Source organism: Homo sapiens, chromosome 1 (genome assembly GCF_000001405.40).
Source record: "Homo sapiens chromosome 1, GRCh38.p14 Primary Assembly".
In the NCBI taxonomy this organism is placed as follows: Eukaryota; Metazoa; Chordata; class Mammalia; order Primates; family Hominidae; genus Homo; species Homo sapiens.
Window position 1 is genome coordinate 114,852,085 of NC_000001.11, and position 26,453 is coordinate 114,878,537.

Consider the following 26,453-nt stretch of genomic DNA (forward strand, 5'->3'; position numbering starts at 1 on the left):
GCGCCTGTAATCCCAGCTACTCCAGGGGCTGAGGCCAGAGAGTAGCTTGAATCCGGGAGGTGGAGATTGCAATGAGCCGAGATCACGCCATTGCTCTCCAGCCTGGGCGACAAGAGCAAAACTCCATCTCAACAACAACAGCGACAACAACAACAACACAATAAAGAGAGTTTGTGACCTTCATTAACTAAAGCCAGACTGATGGAATAAGGAGGTAACATTTTAAACCTATTCCTGTTACAGCATTTTGTGAATTATTAAAGACGAGCAAAACTGTTCAAATCTTATCATTTCTTAATGCCTTAAAAAAAGAGATGCTTTATAAAAACAAAGTAGGAATTTTGTGATGGCAAGAATAATGAAAAATTAAAATACAGATTATTAAAATATTTTAACATATATTAGGAAATTAAACATAATTTACTTCTCATTCTGGCACAGAATATTTTAACATTTTTGCCAACATCTTTTGTGGAAAAAAACGAAGTTCTTAAAACCAGAAATCTTTCTACAAATTTTTAAGTCCTTATATGGACAGGATGTTAATATGTTAAATTAAATTTCATGTGAAATACATGGAAGTGAGAAATTCTATGGTGGCACTATTGCTTTGGAAGACTGATTTTAAGTAAATAAAATATGGTAAATTTAATATAACACTAGGAGTAGCATTTTGGTTTTCAATAAAGAAAAAAGTGACCATAGTTGAAATTTTCACTGTTGTAAAACTTTTAAAAATATTGGGATATTAGATTTATAGCCTCAATTGAATAAAAATTTTTAATTAGATCAATTATTGCCTCTGGTGGTACTTTGTGTATATTCTTAGTATCATCTCTCTGAGGGAGTATCTTATCTTTTTCAGAGTATCTAGACTCAGTTTCCCTAAATAGTAAAATGAAGGAGTTAAACTGGATCATCCTTTACTGCTCAAAAATTTTATTTTATCGGGAATGATTGTTTCTGATTATACAAAATGAGCTATTAAAAATATTGCTAAAGTCCTTAGAAAAAGCATCAATTATATTATGATGCCCAGAGAAAGTTGGAAAACAAAGTCAATGGTATATTCAAAATGGAGCTCATTATTTTATTGCTCAAAATTAAGTAACTTAGCACTAGGATGATGATAATAGCTAGTTACTCAAGCCTGAAACCAGGTAGTCATCTTAGACTGCTCCCTTTCTTTCACTTCTTACTACTAAAAAGTTATAAAATTCTACTAATTTTACTTCTTAAATATCTTTTACATTTGACACCTCCTCTTCACTCCACTGTCCGTGTCATAGCTCAAGTCCTCATGTCTCACCCAGGCTATTAAAACTGTCTCGCTACTCTGGTCTCTTAAGCCTAAACCATTCTTCATACTACAAGTTTTCTTCTGAACTCGATCGTGTAATCCTTTCTGCTCAAAATTCTTCAAGATCTCCGTCCACAAAGTCAAAAATCCAGACACTTTTCCAAGGCCTTTCTATAATACTTGCTTTCTCTTTCTCTCTTTTTTTTTTTTTTTTTTTTTGTGAGACGGAGTCTCACTCTGTGGCCCAGGCTGGAATGCAATGGGGCAATCTCGGCTCACTGCGACGTCTGCCTCCCCGGGGGTTCAGGCGATTCTCCTGCCTCAGCCTCCCGAGTCACTGGGACTACAGGCGTGTGCCACGTGCCTGGCTAATTTTGGATGTTTACTGGAGACAGGGTTTCGTCATGTTGGTCAGGCTAGTCTCAAACTCTTGACCTCAAGTGATCCGCCCTTCTTGGCCTCCCAAAGTGCTGGGATTACAGAAGTGAGCCACCGCGCTCGGCTAATACTTGCTCTTGAAATCTCTAGTGTCATCTCTTGCCATTTTCCCCACTTAATCCTCACACAGAACGCTTCTTGGACTTAGTTGTAATAATCTCTCTCACAACTCCAATGCCTTTGCTCGCCTTGCGTCAGCCAGCAATACTCTTTCCCCATTCCCTCTCCCTCTCCCTCTCCCCCTTCCCCCGCTCTCCCCTCTCTCCCCTCTTTCCCTACTCTCCTCCGTTTCCTCCCTCTGCCTCCTTTCTCTCCTCTGTCTCCTCTCTCTCTCTCTTTGAGACAGAATCTGGCTCTGTTGCCCAGACTGGAGCCAGTGGCAGGATTATTAGCTCACTGCAGCCTCTGTCTCCAAGACTCAAGTGATCTTCCCGCCTCAGCCTTTTAAGTAGCTGAGGACACAGGTGCGCACCACCACACCCGGCTATTTTAGGAGAGGCAGGGTCTCACTACGTTGCCCAGACTGGTCTTGAACTCCTTCCTGGGCTCAAGCAGTCCTCCCGCCTTGGCCTCCCAAAGTGTTGGGATTACAGGCGTGAGCCACCGGCCCGCCTAGCCAACTCTCCATTCACTCATTCTTATGTGAAACAGTAACAGAACTATACCACATCTGTGGAGCTTCTCCTGACTCCCCAAGCCACCCTAAGAGCCACTTTGCCTACGTCCTTATCATAGGAATTACCCTAAATGATTATAGGACATTTTAATTGTTTGCCCATCTGTTTCCTTCCTAAGATTGTGACCTCTTGGAGGGCAGAAATGGATTTTTCACTCTCAGCTTCAGTCTGTCATAGAGCCTGACAGTTTCCCTAGCATTCTTTGACAATAGCAGAAGCCTAAAGAACTTCCACTCCAAGGAAATACAGAATCCGGGAAACAATTGTTCCTAGCGATTAGGGAAATCTCGCGAGATTCAGGTCCTGGGAGCCTGGCAAGCCCACACAGCGACGGTTATTTAGCCGTTGAACTGCCAGCCGCCCGGGGCCCACGCGCTCCGGGCCGCTCAGGCTGAGCGATTTCCCGCCTTTTCTGAGGTTCTGAGGCGGGAGCCATTGGTTCTTTCTGTTGCCCTCATAGACCGTATGTAGCAGTTCGCGTGGGCACAGAACCCACGGTTTCCCGCTAGTTCTTCAAAGGTGAGGGCAGGTGCCCCGAGTTATTTTCCTGGGGACTGAGCCCAGAGCGGGGCGATGTTGTGCTACTGCACCTCCCCGCCGCAGCCCTCCGCTGTTTTCTTTTGGGTAGTGGTCCAGGAACTTAAGACAGTTCCTCCTGGCGATGTGATGGAATTTAATGGGACAGGAGAAGGGAACGGGCTTTCTTTTCAGGCCAGCGTGGCAGCGGGCGGTAGGGCGAAAGGGAGAAGGAAACGAGGGTTTATTCCGTTGCCCACTCCGCGGTAAGCGACGTTGTAGGGCTCCACTGTAGCGAGAGCCCCGTGGATTCCTTTTTTTTTAGCCATTTAGTTTGTAAACATCACTTTAAAGAATACATAGTGTATTCATGACACTCGGTGAAAAAAAACTTTCCTTCCCCTCCCGCCCCCCCGGGGCAGTAGATATTTACAACCGTAACAGAGAAAATGGAAAAGCAAAAGCCCTTTGCATTGTTCGTACCACCGAGATCAAGCAGCAGTCAGGTGTCTGCGGTGAAACCTCAGACCCTGGGAGGCGATTCCACTTTCTTCAAGGTAAATTTCCATGTGACTCTTAATTGGACTCTTCTTAACTTTAGGGAAATGAAGAAAAGTGTACTTTCTTCCTGGTGGTGTTTTATAATTATTTCTTCTCAATAAATGGTCTCATTTACCCAAGAATTTTGAATCCCATTGCTTTAAATGAACAGTGAGCATTATTGTGTAGGCATCATTCATTTAAATAATGACTGCTGCCGTAGAACTCTGCATACATAGTGGAACGTGCTTATTTTAATTCTCCTTCTTTCCGTATTTGATTCGTGGCAACTTATAGGACAGATACTACGAGATAGTAGAATATGTTAGGATAAAATTAGGAAAATTATCAAGAAAAATGAGGACTATTTGGACAAATGCCTATATATGAATAATAATTCGTGTTGTGACTGAGCTTCAGATTTGGCTCTGAGCTTCCTAGTGGATAGGGCAAAGAGGGAAATTCATTTATGTAATGGTGTTATCATTGGATAGGAGGAATTATACCAAGTTTCTCAGGTGAAACAGAGCTTTAAAAATTAATTAAAAAAATTTATCATGTGGATCCTTATATTGGAGATGCAATGATGCAATGAATATTTTACTTGTATATGCTGTAAAACAATTCTTGTGGCTGCTATAGGCAATAATATATTATTAAATGCTATTCAATAAAGACAATCTTTAATTCTATCAAGGGAAATCATAAACTGAAGAAATCTACTAATATTGTTCTATACTACTAGTTAGATTTACTATTATTCTCGAATACCTACAAAGCCATATATTGAGTAATTTATAGTTTAGCTTCATCTTACAAGTGGAAATATCTAATTAGAATTTTTTCTTTGTTTATATAGAAAAGGCATTTGATATTTTAAACACTGTATGTACATTAAAGGATTTGCAATTATAGTAACCTTTTTAAGCAGATGTATATTACATATGTATATATTACACTATTAGTATATCAGAGTGGTATGAAACAGAATATTTAAGAACTTCTTTGTGTCTCTAGAGTTTCAACAAATGTACTGAAGATGATTTTGAGTTTCCATTTGCAAAGACTAATCTCTCCAAAAATGGGGAAAACATTGATTCAGGTAGGAGCATGGAAAAGCAGTGTATCAGCTTATATAGAAACATTGTGTTACATACATCGATAGTTATTGAAAATGTAACATAAGTATTATATAAGTATAATTGACACAAAAGCTAGATATAATACTTAATATAAAAAATAAGGCTGGACACGGTGGCTAACACCTGTAATTCCAGCACTGTGGGAGGGAGGCTGATGGAGGGGGATCACTTGAGGCCAGGTGTTTGAGACCAGCCTGGGCAACATAAGGAGACCCTGTCTGTACAAAAAAAAAAAAAAAAAAAAAAAACCAGCAAACAAACCCCACCACCCCCAAAACTAGCTGGACATGGTGGCATGCGCCTGCAGTCCCAGCTACTTGGGAGGCTAAGGTGGGAGGATCATTTGAGCCCTAGAGATGGAGGCTTTGAGGCTGCAGTGAGCCATGATGGGTCACTGCCCTCTAGTCTAGGCAATAGTGCCAGATGTCCTCTCTCTCTCAAAAAAAAAAAAAAAAAAAAAGAGAAAAAAGAAAAAAAAAAAGAAAGAGAAAAAGATGTTGGCGTATTTAATACCTGTTGTCTTTTATCTTGCAGATCCTGCTTTACAAAAAGTTAATTTCTTGCCCGTGCTTGAGCAGGTCAGTTAAGCATAGTACATGTAGATATAATCTGTTTAGGTAATGAACTGCTTATTTGAAGACGAAAAAAGTCTTTAGTTATTGCATTACTAGTCTTCTGTATTTAATTGTTATTATTTAGAAGCTCTTATCAGAAGTATTTTCTTATAGAAACATCTATCTTTTTAGGTTGGTAATTCTGACTGTCACTATCAGGAAGGACTAAAAGACTCTGATTTGGAGGTCAGAAGATTTCCCATTCATATTAAATTTCTTGTAATTGGAATATAACTTATTACCTATATGTATATTTCTTTTGAAGCTTCAAAAGGATTATTATTTGATTAACGTTTTAAGATATATCCTTTAAAACCTTTTTTTCTGCTTCTGTATTTTTTGGGTTATGAAAGTTCCATTTATGTAGAGGCAATTTAATTTTAAACCATGAAATCAAGAAGAGGGGAAACGAGTACTATACCTGAAAAGTATATTATCAAGAGAGTATTTTACAAAATCAGCCTTTAATTAATAGACGAAATTGACTGGTTGACTGGTTTATTGTATAAGGAATTTGTAGGACATGCTATATACTTTTGATTTTAGTTATAAAAATATTTCTTATTTATGGCATATAGTGTCTTTAAAATGAAGAGAAATTCCATAGCCTGGTAAGGTACTGTATGTTTGTTGCTGTGATTATGGTATCACAGAATTTAAAATATATAGAACTTATTTATATATTTTTATAAGAAAAAGTTGTCAACCAGCAAAAATTGATGTGACTAAAAATCTCTGATATTTACAATATAATGTGGATTTTAAAAAGGCAGGAAATCTATATAAAAATCAGACTTGATGAAAATTATATCTTGTCTTCACTTTTATTTTTCTTGTCATTATATTTTAAACTTCATGTCCTTTAGTGAATCTTCAAACTGTTTGTATAATCAAAGTGTTTCAAGACCATTGTTAAGATTTATAGATTTCTTATAGGATGATTTATTTTAGCTTTTAACCAGCCAGATTCTGTCACTAACTAAAATATTTTTATGGAGCCATTTCATTTTATTCAGCAAGGTATAATTTAGTCAAGTGACCAATAACTTTAATGAAGTAGTTAATATTGCCTTAGTAGTTTAAAAGAGTTAATGTGGCTTTCAGTATGCTATTAGTGCTTAAATTGAGGAGATATTTGGTCTCAACTATTAGTATATGGATATTTTCAGTAGGCAGCTGTAGTTTGGTTATATTAGAATTTTGGACAATTAATTTTTGAAAACATATTTTAATAGAATTCAGAGGGATTGAGCAGAGTGTATTCAAAACTGTATAAGGAGGCTGAAAAGATAAAAAAATGGAAAGTAAGTACAGAAGCTGAACTGAGACAGAAAGAAAGTAAGTTGCAAGAAAACAGAAAGATAATTGAAGCACAGCGAAAAGCCATTCAGGAACTGCAAGTATGACACAATTTTGCATTGTAAACATAGTATAGTAAATCTAATCATAATACTGTTGAAAGTAGAGTATTAGTTGGGATAAATTGGATTGATCTTGTTTTTGTGATGAATATTTTAAGGATAATGCTTTTTAAAAGTTACATCAATACTGGATACATTTTAACTTTAAGAATGAGCATAGAGGACAAGTTGTATAACGCTTAATGCAAATGATTAGGGAAATAATAAATCACTTTATATAAAAATTGATTTAATGATTCTAATTTATTATAAAGAGTTTCAATTTTTATTCCTATTGATGTTTTATGTAAATATATTCTCTTAGATTACAATAGTTGTAGGTAACACTTTAAATTTGAAACTGTGTAACTTTATTTTTTTTATTTATTTTTGTGAGACATAGTCTTGCTCTGTCACCCAGGCTGGAGTGCAGTGGCACCATCTCGGCTCACTGCAACCTTCGCCTCCCTGGTTCAAGCGATTCTTCTGCCTCAGCCTCCCAAGTAGCTGGGACTGCAGGCTTGAGCCACCACGCCCAGCTAATTTTTATATTTTTAGTAGAGATGGGATGCCACCATATTTACCAGGCTGGTCTTGAACTCCTAGACCTCGTGACCCACCTGCCTCGGCCTCCCAAAGTGCTGGGATTACAGGCGTGAGCCACTGCTCCCGGCCGAAACTGTGTAACTTTATCTGTAGCATAAAGTGAAAAAAATGTTGAGAAAATGTGACATTGTATTAGGACAAAGAAAAAAACATTACTTCAAAAATATTTAGAGAAGATAATATTGCATTAAAATATTGTTGAATGTTTCTTGGAGATGATTTAGCCTTCTTTATTTTAGATTGATGAAGGCCATATTCTTAAGGGAAATCATAAGCTATTACAAAAATGTTTCCTTTTTATGTGGAAAGAAAATAATTCTTTTAGACCATTGTGTATTAGTAAAGAAATACTGCTTAATGATTATATTCGTGTTTATTTTTGCTAATAAGCAAAATGGGATGAACTTTTCTGTTTTATAAATTAGTTTGGAAATGAAAAAGTAAGTTTGAAATTAGAAGAAGGAATACAAGAAAATAAAGATTTAATAAAAGAGTAAGTAGTAATTTAATGAATTTGTTCTTTTCACATTTTTTATTCCAAATTTACTACTAAAATAATTTTCAAAAACATATTGAGCACTTTCTATACGTTATATCATATGAATTTATAAGTAGAATTATATCTGAGTGCTATGGAAAAAGGAAGATGTACATTCTTGTGTTTGGCAAACTGTGGTCACTGACTAATAACTTCACTTTTTAAAATGTCAGGCATCAGGAATAAACATTCCTTGGTGTCAAAAAAGATGCCTGATAATTCTGTATCTACAACTACCTATGTATGTTGTCTGTTTCACTGCTGTCTTGAGTACAGTACTTATAAAACAGGACTTAACTTAGTTCCAAGTTAATTCTTACTCAAATTCCTGTTTTTGAAAATGTAACAGTTTATTTCTACAGAAAAATGGTAAGTTAGAAAATTAAGTCTAACTGCCATATGTGTTAGTAACTTCAAGATAGCCACAGGTCTCATCATTCACATAATGAATGCCTAATCAGAAAGTTACCTTATTTTGTGTTTTGAAGGTTAGACATATATTAATTTGTTAATGAATGGCCCAACCTATTCTCATTATTTTTCCTTAGGCAAATCTAGACCTGTTTACTGAAAGTTTATTGATAGCAACTTGGGTAGAAACTTGTTAAGGAGCTGTCACTTTTATTTGTTTATTTATTTTAGTGGCCAGTTACTAGAACTTTTACTTTTAAAGGGAGGCAATTACTAAATCATCTTTGCTAGTAGTACAGTCAACCCACTGTTTCTTCATATAGTCATTTATGAATAATGTGATGTATGCCAAAGATTATAATATTTTAAAAATTTCTTAAAAATTGTAACAATATATTTCATAACTTATATATTGTGATTTTGCTTTGAGATCAGATTACACACAGGCAAACTCTTTCCTTTGTTTCAGGAATAATGCCACAAGGCATTTATGTAATCTACTCAAAGAAACCTGTGCTAGATCTGCAGAAAAGACAAAGAAATGTAAATATCTTTCTTGTTTTATGTGATTTTATCAATTTATTTTACTGGTAGAGGTGGAGAGGGAAAGAAATTGTCCTTTTAATTTTTGGAACCAATTTGATTTGAACAAATTATATGTGCCTCAGACTATTTTTATATAAGTAATAAGGAGAATCACAGTTCTTTGACTTTTGAAAGCTCAAAATTTTTTGAAAGGTAATATATGTCAAAGGGTATATTCTTGATATTTATAGTTAATCCTGGTTTCAAGTAAGGTATGATTTTGAGACTAACCTCTGTCTGGAACAACTAGGAAATTCAATCGAGAATAAGATACATAGCCATGCTCGTAATAGAAAATACCAGTAGAGGCTTTGCTAAAGCCATTGTATTTATGAATAGTGGTGCAATGTTTATTTTCAATCTAAATAGAATTCTCAAATTTTTCCTAAAGAAAAATTCTTTTAAAATATTCTAATATGGTTGTGTTGTGTATGTGAAAGAACAGTTTAAAAATTTTAAAGCATGTTTTCATTTTTTTAAATTATAAAGTAGGATTTTTTCCCATTTTGATGAAAAATAAGTGTGTGATTATAAAATATAATTCTTTATTTTTGCCATAATTTGACCCTGGCTTTACTTTGTTTCTGCCAAGAATCCATTGGGAAATACTGTCTACCTGCTTTTTCGGGATATTCTCTATTTTTCTTAGCTAAAAATTTTAATTTGTATCATACAGCTTACTACTTAACAGCTTGGGCTTAAGGATTAGATAGCCGGTGCTCAAATTTAGACTTTCAGTTTCTGTCCACCTAGGGAGCTTGAATAATTTGAGTAAATTATGTAGTCTGTCTGTCACTCTGTTTATTAATTAAATGCCTCTTAGTATTGTCCTGAAAATTAAATGTTAATAAATATGCTTAGAACAATGCAAAGTGCTCAATAAATGTTGGGTATTTTATTATTATTATTGTCGTTATTTCTAACATTGACTGTTAGGTTTTTTTATTCTTTTTTTTTTTTTTTTTGAGATGTGGTTTCACTCTTGTTGCCCAACCTGGAGTGTAATGGTGTGATCTCGGCTCTCTGCAACCGCTGCCTCCTGGGTTCAGGCAATTCTCCTTCCTCAGCCTCGCGAGTAGCTGGGATTACAGGCATGTGCCACCACACCCAGCTAATTTTTTGTATTTTTAGTAGAAAGGGGGTTTCACCATGTTAGCCAGGCTGGTCTCGACCTCCTGACCTCAGGTGATCCTCCCACCTCAGCCTCTCAAAATGCTGGGATTACAGGCATGAGCCACTGCACCCGGCCAGGATTTTTATTCTTAGTCCCTGCCTGTATTACCTTGCTTTTCAAAACTCTATGTATCTTCCAGAATGTACCATACCACTACCAGCTCCTCTACTATATCCTATGTACTCAACATTCAAGATTAATTTTTCTGCCTAGATATAAAAAGTGGTGAAAAGTACAGTGATAGGGTAGAAGGATAGTACATTGGCTGTCTTGCAGAAAATAACTTGGGTTAGAGAGACAAGTCTGATAGTTCTTTTTTGTTCTTTGTTTTTTTTTTTTTTTTAGACGAAGTCTAACTCTGTGGCCAGGCTGGAGTGCAGTGGCACAATCTCGGCTCACTGCAACCTCCCACCCCTAGGGTTCAAGTGATTCTCCTGCCTCAGCCTCCTGAGTAGCTGTGACTACAGGTGCCCACCACCACGCTGGCTAATTTTTTGTATTTTTAGTAGAGATGGGATTTTACCATGTTGGCCAGGATGGTCTCGATCTCTTGACCACCTGCCTCGGCCTCCCAAAGTGCTGGGATTACAGGCGTGAGCCACTGCGCTGGGCGATAGTTCTTTCTTACATTTAGTTTTCAGCTAAGTTAGAAATCAGATGGTGAGGAAGGTTTAGAGAACCCAACATTTTTCAAGGTGGTCTCTTTAATAAACTAAAGTTGAGGTATGTCTTGATGTGACATGTAGAAAGTTTTTTTTTTAAAGTCTTGACACTTGCTTTATTGTTAGTGTAAACTCTATGCAGATTCTTGCCTTAAGTTGTTGACCAGTCTTTTTGTTATTGTGCTTTTTTCTTTCTTTTATTCATTCATTCAATATTTTTTTAGTGCCTGCTATGTCATGAAATCTTCTAGATGCTGATGAAAAACAGCAGTGAACAAAGTCTCTACTCTTACAAGAGTGTATATTCCATGGTGTATATGTGCCACATTTTCTTTATCCAGTCTGTCATTGATGGGCATTTGGGTTGGTTCCAAGTCTTTGCTGTTGTAAATAGTGCTGCAATAAACATACGTGTGCATGTGTCTTTATAGTAGAATGATTTATAATCCTTTGGGTATACACCTAGTAATGGGATTGCTGGGTCAAATGGTATTTCTGGTTCTATTTCCTTGAGGAATCACCACACTGTCTTCCACAATGGTTGAACTAATTTACACTCCCACCAATAGTGTAAAAGTGTTCCTAGGCCAGGCACAGGGCTCACGCCTGTAGTCCCAGCACTTTGGGAGGCCGAAGCAGGCAGATCACGAGGTCAAGAGATCAAGACCAGCCTGGCCAACATGGTGAAACCCCATCTCTACTAAAATACAAAAAAATTAGCTGGGCATGATGGCACGCGCCTGTAGTCCCAGCTACTCAGGAGGTTGAGGCAGGGGAATCGCTTGAACCCGGGAGGCGGAGGTTGCAGTGAGCTGAGATCATGCCACTGCACTCCAGCCTGGCAACAGAGCAAGAGCCCGTCTCAAAAAAAAAAAGTTCCTATTTCTCCACAGCCTCACCAGCATCTGTTGTTTCCTGGCATTTTAATAATTGCCATTCTAACTGGCGTGAGATGGTATCTCATTGTGGTCTGGATTTGCATTTCTCTAATGACCAGTGATGATGAGCTTTTTTTCACATGTTTGTTGGTGGCATAAATGTCTTCTTTTGAGAAGTGTCTGGTTATAGCCTTTGCCGACTTTTTGAATGGGTTTCTTTTTTTTTCTGTAAAAGAATGAGTTCATGTCCTTTGCAGGGACATGGATGAAGCTGGAAACCATCATTCTCAGCAAACTAATACAGGAACAGAAAACCAAACACCAAATGTTCTCACTCATAAGTGGGAGTTGAACAATGCGAACACATGGACACAGGGAGGGGAACATCACACACCCGGGCCTGTTGGGGGGTGGGGGGCAGGGGGAGGGAGAGCATTAGGACAAATACCTAATGCAGGTGGGGCTTAAAACCTAGATGATGGGTTGATAGGTGCAGCAAACCACCATGGCACATGTATAGCTATGTAACAAAGCTACACATTCTGCACATGTATCCCAGAACTTAAAAAAAAAAAAAGAGTATACAGTCTAGTGAGGGGAGAGGATACAGATCATTAATGAATAAATAAAATATATGTTAGGTGATAACTGCTTAAGGAGAGAATATTTTGGGACAGGGTGATTGGGAAGTTTTTTCTGGTTAAGTGACATTGGGTAGAGACCTGAATAAGGGAGTGGGCCATCTATTTTAGGAAAGAATATTTCAGGCAGAGGAAGCAGTTAAGTGCAAAGTCCCAGAGATGAGAGCCTGTTCAATCTTTTCAGGTCACAATAATGAGGCCACTGTTCTGTATTTCTGACTCTGTATTTTTCATCTTTTTTCTCACTGTACTCCACTCAGGATACTTTTTTCTTTCTTTCTTTTCTTTTTTTGATGGGGGGTGGGGTGGTCTCACACTGTTGCCCAGGCTGGAGTGCAGTGGTTCCATCTTGGCTCACCATAACCCCCGCATCCCAAGCTCAAGCAATCTTCCTACCTCAGTTTCCCAAGTAGCTGGGACTACAGCTGCACACCACCAGGGCTGTCTAATTTTTGTATTTTTTTAGAGACAGGGTTTCGCCATGTTGCCCAGGATAGTCTCAAACTCCTGGGCTCAAGTGATCTTCCCACCTTGGCCTCCCAAAATGTTGGGATTATAGGTGTCAGCCACTGCCCTGGCCCACATAATTTCTTCTAACCTCTCTTCCAGTTTACTGATTTTCTATTTAGTTAATTCTTGTCTGTTTTATTTTATTTTTATTTTATTATTATTATACTTTAAGTTTTAGGGTACATGTGCACAATGTGCAGGTTAGTTACATATGTATACATGTGCCATGCTGGTGTGCTGCACCCATTAACTCGTCATTTAGCATTAGGTATATCTCCTAATGCTATCTTGTCTGTTTTAAAATTTATCAGTTGGTGTCTTAATTTGTTATTGTATTTACTGGTTGAGTATTAGCTAGTTCTTTAAAAATTTGTAGTGTCACTTTCCAGAATTTTAAGTTCTTTGCTGACTTTTTAAAGCTCTACTTTTTATCTGTATGAACATAATAAACATAGTTGTATCCAATAATGCCAACGTCTGCAATACCCTGGGGTCCATTTCTGTGATTTTTTTTTTGCCATAGATCCTAGTTTTATTGGTTATCTCATCAGCTATCTTAGATAATAATTAATAATTTGAGACTTAGAATGGTTAAATTTTCCTAGTTCATTGAATGTTCAGCAATTCTGTATTATATCCTGGATTATGTTGTGAGAATCTGAGTCCTCTTCAGATTTCCTAGAGAATGTTTATTTGTTTATTTTCTAACAGGCAGTCAGCTCACTTAGGTTTAGAATAGGTTCTGTCTTGCCTTTTCATTGTGGGTGTTCCAATATCAGTTCAATTTTCAATGCCTTTGCTGTGCTGCCCTGGGTCTATTTCATGTATGCTGTACTCAAGGATAGTTCTGGGACTTGGGTAGTGTTTTATGCAGAGTCCAGTTTGCAAAGCTTTTGCCCCATGCATCTATAGCCTCTCCGATTATCAACATAACTCACCAGAGTGGCATGTTTGTTACAATTGATGAACCTACATAGGCACATCATAATTGTCCAAAGTTCATAGTTTACATTAGTGTTCACTCTTGGTGTTGTACACTCTATGGATTTGGACAAATATGTCCGCCATTATAGTATAATACAGAATAGTTTCATTGCCCTAAAATTCTGTGTTCTGCCTATTGATTCTCTACACCCTACTCTGGTAACCACTGATCTTTTAACTGTCTCCATAATTTTGCCTTTTCCAGAATGTTATGTAGTTCGAATCCTACAGTACGTAGGCTTTTCATATTGGCTTCTTTCACTTAGTAATATGCATTCAAGTTTCCTCCATGTCTTTTCATCACTTGATAGCTCATTTTTTAAGCACTGAATAATATTCCATTCATTGTTTGCACATACCACAGCTTATTTATCCATTCACTTACTAAAGGACATCTTGGTTGCTTCCAAGTTTTGGCAGTTATGAATAAAGCTGCTATAAATATCCATGTGCAGGCTTTTGTGTGGACATTTTAAACTCCTTTGAGTAAATACCAAGGAGCACAATTCCTGGATCACATGGTAAAAGTATGTTTAGTTTTGTAAGAAATTGCCAAACTGTCTTCCAAAGTGGGTGTACAATTTTTTATTTCCGCCAGCAGTGAATGAGAGTTTCTGTTGTTCTATACTCTCACCAGCATTTGGTGTTGTCAAAGTTCTGGATTTTGGCCATTCGAATAGGGGTATGTATTGATATCTCTTTGTTGTTCTAAATTGCATTTCTCTGATGACATATGATGGGAATCTTTTCATGTGATTATTTGCCATCTGTATGTCTCCTTTGGTAAGGTGTCTGTTAAGGTCTTTGTCCCATTTTTTAATCAGGTTGCATGTTTTCTTATTGTTGAGTTTTAATCAACAATAAGAAAAAAGACTTAACAATTTTGAGTCTTTGTATATTATAGAAAACAGTCCTTTATCAGATGTTTCTTTTGCAGACATTTTCTCCCAGTCTGCGGCTTGTATTCTCATTCTCTTGACATTATCTTTTGGAGAGCAGAAGTTTTTAATTTTAATGAAGTCCAGCTCATTATTTCTTTCTTTCATGGATTGTATCTAAAAAAAAAAAGTCATCGTGATACCCAAGATCATCCAGGTTTTCTCCTATTTATCTTGGAGTTTTATGGTTTGTATTTTACATTTAGGTCTATGATAAATTTTGAGTTAATTTTTGTTAAGGGTGTAAGATCTGTGTCCAGATTCTTTTTTTTTTTTTGCATGCAGATGTCCACTTGTTTCAGCATCATTTGTTGAAAAGACCATCTTTTCTCTATTTTATAGCTGTTACTCCTTTGTCAAATATCAGTTGACTATATTTGTTTGGGTCTATTTGTTACTCCTTTGTCAAAGATCAGTTGACTATATATATTGGGTCTGTTTCTGGACTCTCTATTTTGTTCCCTTGATTTCTTTGTCCTTTTCCCCCACAAATCCCTCACTATGTTGATTACTGTAGCTTTATAGTAAGTCTTGAATTTGAATAGTATCAGTTCTCCAACTTTGTTCTTCTCCTTTAATATCGTGTTCGCTCTTCTGAGTCTTTTGCCTCACCATATAAACTTTAGAATCAGTTTGTAGATATCCACAATATAACTTGCTGAGATTTTTATTGGGATTGCATTGAATCTGTAGATCAAGTTGGGAAGGATTGACATCTTGACAATATTGAATCTTCCTATCTATGATCATGGAATCTTTCTCTATTGATTTAATTATTATTTGATTGTTTTCATCAAAATTTTATAGTTTTCCTCATATAGATCTTGCATGTTTTGTTAGATTTGTACCTAAGTATTTCATTTTTTTTGTATACTAATGTAAATGGTATTGTGTTTTCAATTTCAAATTCCGCTTATTCATTGCTGGTGTATAGGAAAATGATTGACGTTTGTATAGTATATTAATCTTGTATCGTGTAACCTTGCTGTAATTGCTTATTAGTTCCAGGATTTTTTTTTGTTAATTCTTTCAAATTCTCTGTATAGACAGTTATGTTATCTGTGAATAAAGTAGTTTTTATTTCTTTTTTCTCAATCTGATTCCATTTGTTTCCTTTTTTTGTTTTATTGTATTAATTAAAACTTTAAGTACAATGTTGAAAAAGAATGGTGAGAGGGGACATCCTTGCCTTGTTCCTGATCTTAGTGGGAAAGCTTCTAGTTTCTCACCATTAAGTATGATATTAGCTATAGGTTTCTGTAGATATTCTTTACTAGATTGAGCAAGTTCCCTTCTATTCCTAGTTTACTAAAAGTTTTTATCATGAGTGGGTGTTGGATTTTGTCAAATAATTTTTCTATATCTATTGATATGATCTTGTAATTTTTTAGCCTGTTATGTGATGGATTACAATAATTGATTTAAAATGCTGAGCCAGCCTTGCATACCTTGACTGCATCCCATTTGGTTGTGTTGTATAATTTTTTTTATACTTTTTTTTTTTTTTGAGACAGGATCTTGCTCTGTCACCCAGGCTGGAGTGCAGTGGCTATTCACAGGCATGATCATAACTCACTATAGCCTTGAACTCCTGGGCTTAAGTGATCCTCCTGCCTCAGCCTCCTCAGTGGCTGAGACTATAGGTGTGTGCCACTGCACCCAGATAATTTTTAAAATTTCTTTTTAGAGATGGGATCTTGCTATGTTGCCCAGGCTAGTCTCAAACTTTTGGCCTCAAGCAATCCTTTCACTTCAGTCTCCTGAGTAGCTGGAATTGGGATTATAGGTGTGGGCCACTGTGTCAGGCTCCTTTTATATATTGTTGGATTTGATTTGCTAATGTTTTGTTGAGTATTTTTGCATCTATGTTCATGAGAGATATTTGTCTGTAATTTTCTTATAATGTCTTTGTCTGGTTTTGGTATTAGGGTACTGCTAGAAAATATTCCCTCTGCTTCTATCTTCTGAAAGAGATAGTAGAGAATTGGTATAGTTTCTTCCTTAAATGTTTGTAGAATTCACCAGTGAAGCTGGCAGGCCTGGTGCTTTCTGTTCTGGAGGGTTATTAATTATTGACTTAATTTCTTTAATAGATATAGGCTTATTCAGATTGCCTGCTTTTAATTCTGTGAGTTTTGGCAGTTGTGTCTTTTGACAGTTGGTCCATTCCATTTAGGTTAGCAAACCTGTGGGCATAGAATTGTTCATAATATTTCTTCATTTTAACATCCATGAGGTTTGTAGTGATGTCTCCTTTTTCATTTATGGATTAGTAATTTGAATCCTCTCTCTCTTTTTCTTAGCCTGGCTAGAATTTATTGATTTTATTGATCTTTTCAAATAACCAGCTTTTGGTTTCATTGATTTTTTAAAATATTGATTTTCTGTTTCCACTTTCATGGTTTTTACTCTAATTTTTATTACTTCTTTTCTCCTTCTTACTTTGGATTTAATTTGCTCTTCTCTTTCTAGTTGCCTACAGTGGAAACTTAGATGATTGATTTCAGATTGTCTTTTCCAATTTATGCATTCAATGCTATAAATTTCCCTCTCAGTTTTTCCTGTATCGCACAGATTTTGATAATATGTGTTTTAATTTTCATTTAGTTCAAAATGTTTTTGAATTTCTCTTGAGATTTCTTCTTTGACTCAGGTGGTATTTAGAAGTGTCTTGGTTATTCTCCAAGCATTTTGTGATTTTCCAGGTATCTTTCTATTATTTATTTCTGGTTTAATTCCATTGTGATCTGAGAGCAGATACTGTACAATTTATAATCTTTTAAATTTGTTAAGGTGTGTCTTATGGCCCAGAATATGGTCTATCTTGATGAATATTCCATGTGAGCTTCAGAAGACTATGCATTCTGTTATTGTTGGATTAAGCAGTCTGTAAATGTCAAGGTGATTGATGGTTTTATTGAATCCAACTACAGGTTAAGCAGCCCTAATCCAAAAATCCCAAATCTAAAATACTCCAAAATCCAATTGAGTGCCAAAATGATGCTCAAAGGAAATGCTCATTGGAGCATTTCAGATTTTGGATTTTCAGATTGGGGATGCTCAACTGGTAAACACAATGCAAATATTCCAAAATCTAAAAAGAAATCTGAAATCTGATATATTAATTGTCCTGGTCCCAAACATTTTGGATAAGGGACACTCAACATACATGTCTTACTGATTTTCTGCCTGCTGGGTCTGTCCATTTCTGATAGAGATGTTGAAATCTTCAACTATAATAGTGGATTAATTTATTTCTCTTTGCGGTTCTACCAGTTTTTGCTTCACGTATTTTGACACCATATTATTAGGCCTATACATGTTAAAAATTGTTATATCTCCTTGGAGAAATGACCCAAAAGCATTTTATTTTTATTTATTTATTTATTTTTTGAGACAGGGTCTTGGTCTGTTACCCAGACTGCAGTGCAATGATGTGATCATAGTTCACTGCAGCCTTGAAATCCTGGGCTCAAGCGATCTTCTTACCTCAGCCTCTTGAGTAGTGGGGACTATAGGTGTGTATCACCACTCCTGGCTAATTTTTCTATTTTTTGTAGAGAAGGGGTTTGCTACGTTGCCTAGGGTGGTCTCGAACTCTTGGGCTCAAGTGATCCTCCATCCTCATCCTCTCAAAGTACTGGGATTACGGGCATGAGCCACTGTGCCCAGCTCTAAAAGCATTTTGAAATGGCCCTCTTTATATCTGACAACTTTCCTTGCTTTGAAGTTGGCTGTGTCTGAAATTAATATAGCTACTCTTTTTATATGATTATTTGCCATCCATATGTCTCCTTTTGTAAGGTGTCTGTTAAGGTCTTTGGCCCATTTTTTAATCAAATTGCTTGTTTTCTTAATGTTGAATTTTAATCAACAATAAGAGAAAAGACTTAATAATATTTGAGTCTTTGTATATTATAGATAACAGTCCTTCATCAGATGTTTCTTTTGCAGACATTTTCTCCCAGTCTGTGGCTTGTATTCTCATTCTCTTGACATTCTCTTTTGTAGAGTAGAAGTTTTTAATTTTCTTTTGATTAGTGTTAACATGCTTTCTTGTGATTAGTGTTAATATGGTGTATCTTTATCCATTTACTTTTATTCTAGATGTGATTTTACATTTAAAGTGAGTTTCTTATAGACAGCATGTAGTTGGGTATTGTTTTTTGATCCACTCTGACAATCTCTTAGTTGGTCATTTAGACTATTGTCATTCAAAGTGATTATTGATATAGTTGGATTATTATCTACCACATTTATTACTGTTTTTCTATTTGTTGTCCTGTTCTTTGTTCCTATTTTTGTCTTTTACTCTTTTTATGCTATTTGTGGTTTTAATTGAGCATTTTATGTGATTCCAGTTTCTCTCCTTTCTTAGAATATTAGTTATACTTCTATTTTTACTTTTTAAAGTGATTTCACTAGAGTTTGCAATATATATTTACAGTAATCCAAGTCGACTTTCAAATAACCCTCTACTGCTTCAAGGTTACAGTGAGTACCTTATAATTCTTTCCTCCCATCTTTTTTTTTTCTTTTTTTTTTTGGATACAGAGTCTTGTTTTATTGCCCAGATTGGAGTGCAGTGGTGCCATCTCGGTTCACCACAACCTCCACCTTCCGGGATCAAGTGATTCTCGTGCTTCAGCCTCCTGAGTAGCTGAGATTACAGGTGCCCACCACCAAGCCCGGCTAATTTTTGTATTTTCAGTAGTGACGGGGTTTTGTCATGTTGGCCAGGCTGGTCTTGAACTCTTGACCTCAAGTGATTCACCCTCCTCCACCTCCCAAAGTGCTGAGATTATGGGCTTGAGCCACCAGGCCCGGCTGGCCTCCTCCCGTCTTTTGTATCATTGCTGTCATTAATTTCTTTTATATAAAGCATAAATAAGCATTTATAATCTAATACATTGTTGCTATTTTTTTGTTTGTTTGTCTGTTTTTTGTTTTTTGAGGCAGAGTCTCATTCTGTTGCCCAGGCTGGAGTGCAGTGGCATGATCCTGGCTCACTGCAACCTCCGCCTCCTGGGTTCAAGTGATTCTCCTGCCTCAGCCTCCCGAGTAGCTGGTATTACAGGCGTGTGCCAATTTTTTTATGTTTAGTAATATGCTAATTTTTGTATGTTTAGTAGAGATGGATTTTCGCCATGTTGGCCAGACTGGTCTTGAACTCCTGACCTCAAGTGATCCAACTGCCTTGGCCTCCCAAAGTGCTGGGATTACAGGTGTGAGCCACTGCGCCTGGCCCATTATTGGTATTACTATTTTTGACAAACTTATATGTTAGATCAATTAAGAATGAGAAAAATAAAAGTTATTTAGCCTTCACTTATTTCTGCGTTGATGCTCTTTTTTTTCTTTCTTTTTCTTTTTTTTTTTTTTTGGCAGAGATGGGGTCTTGCTATGTTATCCAGGCTGGTTTTGAACTTCTGGCCTCAAGTGATCCTCCCACTTTGGCCTCCCAAAGCACTGGAATTACAGGTGTGAGCCACTGAGACCAGCTGTTGCTCTTTTTTTTCTTTATAGAGATCTGAATTTCTTACATAAATCATTTTCTTTCTCTTTAAATAATTTCTTTTAACATTTCTTGGAAGGCAGGTCTGCTGGCAACACATTCTGTCAACTTTTGTCAAAGAAAGTATTTATTTCTTCACTTTTGAAGGATAGTTTCTCAAATTACAGAATTCTGTGTTGCTGGTTTTTTCTCTCAGCATTTTAAATATTTTACTCCATTCTATTCTTGCCTGCGTGGTTTCTGAGGAGGAGTCAGATAGAATCTTTCTTTTTGCTCCTCTGTAGGTAAAATGTTTTTTTCCTCTAGCTTTATCTTTGATTTTTTGTAGTTTGAATGTAATATGCATAGGTGTAGTGTCTTTGGCATTTATCCTGCTTTCTGTTCTCTGAGCTTTCTGGATCTGTGACTTGGTGTCTGAAATTAATTTAGGGAAAATTCTTAGTCATTATTGTTACAAATATTTTATGTTCCTTTTTCTCTTTCTTCTCCTTCTGGTATTCCCATTATACTTTTTGTAGTTGTCTCACAGTTCTTGGATATTCTGTTCTGTTCTTTCTAGTCTTTTTTCTCTTTGCCTTTCAGTTTTTGAGGTTTCTGTTGAAATATCTTCAACTTCAAAGATTACTTTCCTCAGCTGTGTCTAGTCTACTAATAAGCCCCTCATTTCTTCGTTTTATTTTTTTTAGAGACAGCGTCTTTCTATGTTGTCTAGGCTGGTCTCCAACTCCTGGCCTCAAGTAATCATCTTGCCTGAGCCTTCTGAGTGGCTGGGATTATGGGAATGAGCCCCCACACCCACAAGCCCTTCATTTCTGTTACAGTGGTTTTGATATGTAGCATTTTTGTTTTGAGTCATTCTTAGAATTTTCACCTATCTCTTTAAATTGCTTATCTATTCTTGCGTGATGTCTACTTTATGTACTAGAGCCCTTAGTATATCAATCATAGTTGTTCTAAATTACTGGTCTGGGATAATTCTGACATCCTTAACTGTATCAGAGTCTGGTTCTTATGCTTGTCTTGTCAAAGTGTATTTTTTGCTTTTAGTATGCTTGTATTTTTATTGTTTTGGATAGCTACACATGATGTACTGGGTAAAGGAATTGTTGTAATGTGCTGGTAAAGTATAGGGGGAGGAGTATTCTATAGACCTATGGTTAGGTCTCAGTTTTTTAGCAAATTTTTGCCTCCAGATAATGAACTTCATAAATACTCCTCAGCCCTTGCATCCCTCTCCTCCTTAGATGGGACAAGGTGGTAGAGTGGGCTGCAGTTGGGAATTTCCCATTTTCCATCTGGATGGCTAGAGGGGGATGGAGTTGGATATTTTCCTTACTTCACATGGAAGGCTAGAGCTGTCTGGAATTGGGTATTTCCCTTCCCCCAGGTTAGTTAGGCTCTGACAAATTCCCAGCAGATTTTGCTCTCCCAAAGGAGGCCTTGTTAAGAACGGGACATATTGGTATAGTTCAAAACGGCTTTTCCTGTTAGAAGCACAAGGGGATGTTTTTCCTATGTTCATTGTGAGAAACCTGGTAGAGCTCCAGAAGGTTAAACTCACAAGAATCTGGGGCCTCTCTGATGACTGGGTCTCCACAGAGGTTTTTTTATTTTTATTTTTTGAGATAGAGTCTCACTCTGTCGCCCAGCTCACTGCGACCTCTGCCTTCTGGGTTCAAGCGATTCTCATGTTTCAGCCTTCTGAGTAGCTGGGATTATAGGCATGTGGTACTATGCTTGGAGAATTTTTGTATTTTTAGTAGAGATGGGGTTTTACCACATTGGCCAGGGTGGTCTTGAACTCCTGGCATCAAGCAACCTGCCAACCTCTGCCTCCCAAAGTGCTAGGATTACAGGCGTGAGCCACCACACCCAGCCTCCACATAGTGTATCTCTCAGATTTGTTTACACTGAATTTCCAGCAATGTGTCAATTATAGTTCAGGTTTTCTTTCCCTGACTCTGGTTCCCACAGAGTTTTCTGCTTATGGGTTTCTGCCCTGGTAAGTTGTAATTCTCTCTGTGTTTGCCTGTCTCTCCAATTTTGGGGTAGTAGTTTGCCCTGCGACTTTACTTCTCTTAAGGATCTGAGAAGAGTTATTAATTTTTTAGTTTGTTCAGCTTTTTACCTGTCGTTAGGATGGAGCAGTGACTTCTAAGCTTCTTCACAACAGACTGAACCCAAACAGCTTTTGATGCAACTTAAAAAGACCCAGTAATGATTTAGATAACCCAATGTTCATCATTAACACAGAATTTTAAATATTTTAATGTTTTCTGGAGGCATTTTGAGTATTGTCTTGTTGACATCTTATTTTAAAATTTAATCTTGAAATTTTTATATTAACAATAGATGAATATGAACGGGAAGAAACCAGGCAAGTTTATATGGATCTAAATAATAACATTGAGGTGAGTGTTAATGAAATCTGAGTATTTTAAACATAGGAATTTCTGAGCAAATTAGAGCGATTGCTACAAAGATATGGACAACTATTCTTACTAAAAAGATTATTATTTATTTGTTGATATATTATTGTATCACTAATAAAATTCCTAAGGTTCTGTACTATGAGCATTAATGTTATGTAGGAGCTTTTTGATTTACATGTTAGTGACATCACTTAATTTATCAAATATTTACTGCCTTTTGTCAGAAATCAGCACATTGTGACACATAACCATTAATTTGAAAACATATAAAGTATTATTCATCTGTGTCTGGCTTCTGTTTACCTTTGTTTTCTCATCTCCTGTCATTGTCCACTTTGCTTTTCTGCTGTAGTCACTCTTTTATGTTTCTCAAATTTGCCAAGCTCTTTCTGATGGTGGTTCTTTGAATTTGTACCCTTTGCAGAACTTTTATGTCTAAGATCTTATGCACATTTCTAAACTTCATTCTGCTTTTTTGTTATTCTCCCCTTAATACTTTATCTAAAATTTCTATTTGATTATTCCATATATATCCATCTCATTTAACTTTTCTCAAGAGCACATAAAGCTGCATGGCATGTATTTGATATGTGTGTGTGTGTGTGTGTGTGTGTGTGTATTTGTATTCTTTTTTACACTTTATTGTAAGGTCCAGTAGGGTAGAGACTTTGTCTTCTTTTTTTTTTTTTTTTTTTGAGACAGTCTGGCTCTGTCGCCCAGGCTGGAGTGCAGTGGCGCAACCTCGGCTCACTGCAAGCTCCGCCTCTCGGGTTCAGCCATTCTCCTGCCTCAGCCTCCGGAGTAGCTGGGACTACAGGGGACAGCCACTACGCCCGGCTGATTTTTTGTATTTTTAGTGGAGACGGGGTTTCACCGTGTTAGCCAGGATGGTGTCCATCTCCTGATCTCGTGATCCGCCCGCCTCGGCCTCCCAAAGTTCTGGGATTAGAGGCGTGAGCCCCCGCGCCCGGCCGAGACTTTGTCTTCTATTCCTATTACCTAAAACAGTTCCTGGCACATAATAGGCACTCAGTAATTAATTAATTAATTAACCTGATTTTACAAAGCAAGATTTGTTGAATGCCGAATGAACACATGCTGCCAGCTGATGGAAGTGTAACTTTGGATTCATGGGGAGAGGCCTCACATTAGTGGAGAAGACGTAAATAAATAAGCACAAATAAATACAAAATTACAGATTTTGATACATGCTATTAAGTAAATGGCTGGTGTACCAACAATCCATTTGCTGCTATTTTGTATTGTATAACATGTTGCCAGTGCATTTAAGCATCTGGGAAACTAACATAAGGCCCTCTTAATACATTTTTAGTAAGTAATTCAAATTACAGTGTTTTAGTTATTCCAAATTGTGTGGTTTTAAATTTAATGATCACATGATACAAATTTGGTAATATTTTCATAGTTTGAAGAAAGCTATTTAAAAAAATTTAAGTATGATTCTTAAAACTTTATATTTCAGAAAATGATAACAGCTTTTGAGGAACTTCGTGTGCAAGCTGAGAATTCCAGACTGGAAATGCATTTTAAGTGTAGGTATAGGGATCTTACTTAATTTTTATATTACTGTTTTGCTATTTATATTTTTATCAGATTCCGTTAATGTCTTCATCTCTTTAGCCTGATGCTCTGAACTATTTTCTATTTTATTTATTTCTGTAAGCCCCTCTAAATCTTGTGGAATGTGGCAGGGAATTAATATTTGTTAAAAATAATTTTGGGTTTTAAAACTACATCTTTCATGAAATCAAACTAATTTTATTTTTTTTTTAGAAATGTGATTTGGTCTCTTTTTACATATCTTGGTATAGTATGCATGTTAAAATAATTGTATATGTATCATATTATACATATTTAAAACCTGTTGTTTCAGATTAGTGTGTTTTAGAGAATAAAGTTTTATATATAAGAATTATAGAATTTTAGGTTATTATAACTGATATTATTTATATTTACTATTTTACTAAACAGAAAGGAAGAAAACAGCAATATTAGCTCATTACAAACTTTTAGAGTTTAATATAATTTAGAGATAAATAAAGAGGTGAAATAAACTTTAAATTTTGTTTGTAATAGAAATGTTATAAAATTATGTTATGACATTACAGTATATTTGTTTTATTTTTAAAGTAAAGGAAGATTATGAAAAAATCCAACACCTTGAACAAGAATACAAGAAGGAAATAAATGACAAGGAAAAGCAGGTTTTTTAAAAAACCAACTCTTTGTATTCTTTATATTTGCTAATTCATTAAAAACTTAAAATTTCAAAAGAAGTTTATATTTACTGAAAGTATGATAAATTCCTATGAGAGAATTTTAATATTATACATATATTAATATTTAGCCTTTAGACTCACTTAATTTTCATTGACTCAAATATGTACTCACTCTAGCTTTTTTTGGGTTTTAATCAATTATTCTTCTATAATATTTATATCAGTGGGTAATAGGATATTGCCTCAAAATATATTATTTTGTGAGAACTTTTGTTCAGACAAAAACTTCATGAAATGTATAGATGATCATTGACTACTCAACTTACATTTTGCAGTTTGTTTTGAAATGTGCTATTCATAATATCAATGAAGAGGAACTAAAATATTCTGTTGCATCTTTCTTTTTTCTTTTTTAGCCTAAGAAAACAAGACACAGATGTTTTTTATATTCATGTCATATAGTGGAAGACTTGAAAATGTTAACTCTATATCCTTTGGCATTCACAAGAATGTTTCAGATTATTATTATGCCATCTCTATCAGTTTCAAGTCTTCTGCTTCCCAAATGGAAAGCAATATATATAATAGAATCCTCTTCTATTTCTCACTATATTTGCAGTTTTTCTTGTCTGATTTGCCACAAGATATCTTCTAATATGGTTAACAAGGATATCTACTTAATAATTTAAAAAATTAATTCACAGTACAGAGAGGATAATAAAAACCACAAAAATAGAGTGAAGTACTGAAACGCTTTTTGGAGTTCTAGGTGCATGGGCAGAGCTTACAGATTGTTGGGCTTCCTTGTAAAATGATGGCATGGCCAGCTAGTGTTTTTGCTGAGGACTCCTAAATGTCATTATTTGTAACACTTTTTTTGCTGGGGGTTTCTAAATTCTTGCTTGTGGATATAAACTTGGCTGATGGCATTCTGGAGCTGAATTGGGCAGGATAGCAAAGACAGACTGAATCTTACCATTATGTATGTTGACTTTTCCATTATATATACCCCCACCCATCCCTGTGCCTGGAATACCGATGTTTAGAGATTGCCTTTTTCAATTTGATATGACACTGTCTCTTACAAAGATAATAGGGCCAGTTCTCTGACTACATTGGCTGCCAGGGAGTAGAGACCAGGGTGGGAGGGTTAAGTGGACCAGCTGAAAAGCATGTAGACAAGTACATAAAATAATTGTAGGTATTATAAATGTTAAGGTGTCATATTTAAATTTTCATATTGATAATGTATTATTTAAATATTTTAGGTATCACTACTATTGATCCAAATCACTGAGAAAGAAAATAAAATGAAAGATTTAACATTTCTGCTAGAGGAATCCAGAGATAAAGTTAATCAATTAGAGGAAAAGACAAGTAAGAGTTTATATAAGATAATATAATGTGCCTTATGTATTCCTCTTGTTATGTTCTAAACATTGACTTTCATTACAAGTTTGTTGTAATGCTTTCTAGTACTGTACTTCTCAATCTGAGTTGGTTCGGTTGGAGGAGGGCATAATAGATTAACCTGGGGAGCTTTTGTAAAATACATGTACTCTTCTTTTCCTTTTTCCATGCTCTTACCTTTTTCAAATGTTTCAACTATATGCTCCACAGAGACAGAGACCTTGTCTTTTTTGTTCACTGACTTGGAACTGTTGCATTCCAAGTGCCGAGAACAATGCCTGGCACATATAAGGCACTCAAAA

At 36.0% G+C, this 26,453-nt stretch overlaps 1 protein-coding gene across 12 annotated transcripts in view; it reads left to right on the plus strand.

The window, feature by feature from the left end:
- Positions 1 to 2,003: 2,003 nt before the first annotated feature.
- Positions 2,004 to 26,453, plus strand: part of SYCP1 (synaptonemal complex protein 1) — a 141,283-nt gene continuing 116,833 nt past the window's right edge. For 4 of the 12 annotated variants that reach the window (NR_104211.2, NM_003176.4, XM_011542037.3 and 1 more), the window contains exons 1-12: positions 2,779 to 2,934; positions 3,357 to 3,488; positions 4,489 to 4,573; positions 5,148 to 5,191; positions 5,360 to 5,413; positions 6,463 to 6,627; positions 7,659 to 7,726; positions 8,652 to 8,725; positions 22,422 to 22,480; positions 23,985 to 24,054; positions 24,653 to 24,726; positions 26,010 to 26,118. Coding sequence is in view for 11 of the 12 variants with exons in the window: in NM_003176.4 (NP_003167.2) it covers positions 3,381 to 3,488; positions 4,489 to 4,573; positions 5,148 to 5,191; positions 5,360 to 5,413; positions 6,463 to 6,627; positions 7,659 to 7,726; positions 8,652 to 8,725; positions 22,422 to 22,480; positions 23,985 to 24,054; positions 24,653 to 24,726; positions 26,010 to 26,118 (910 nt within the window). In the remaining variant the exon portion in view is untranslated. Of the gene's footprint in view, positions 2,203 to 2,778; positions 2,935 to 3,004; positions 3,198 to 3,353; positions 3,489 to 4,488; positions 4,574 to 5,147; positions 5,192 to 5,359; positions 5,414 to 6,462; positions 6,628 to 7,658; positions 7,727 to 8,651; positions 8,726 to 16,758; positions 16,791 to 19,001; positions 19,049 to 22,421; positions 22,481 to 23,984; positions 24,055 to 24,652; positions 24,727 to 26,009; positions 26,119 to 26,453 lie in introns of those variants that run through there. The other 8 variants (NM_001282541.2, NM_001282542.2, XM_017002184.2 and 5 more) reach the window with 7 other exon arrangements.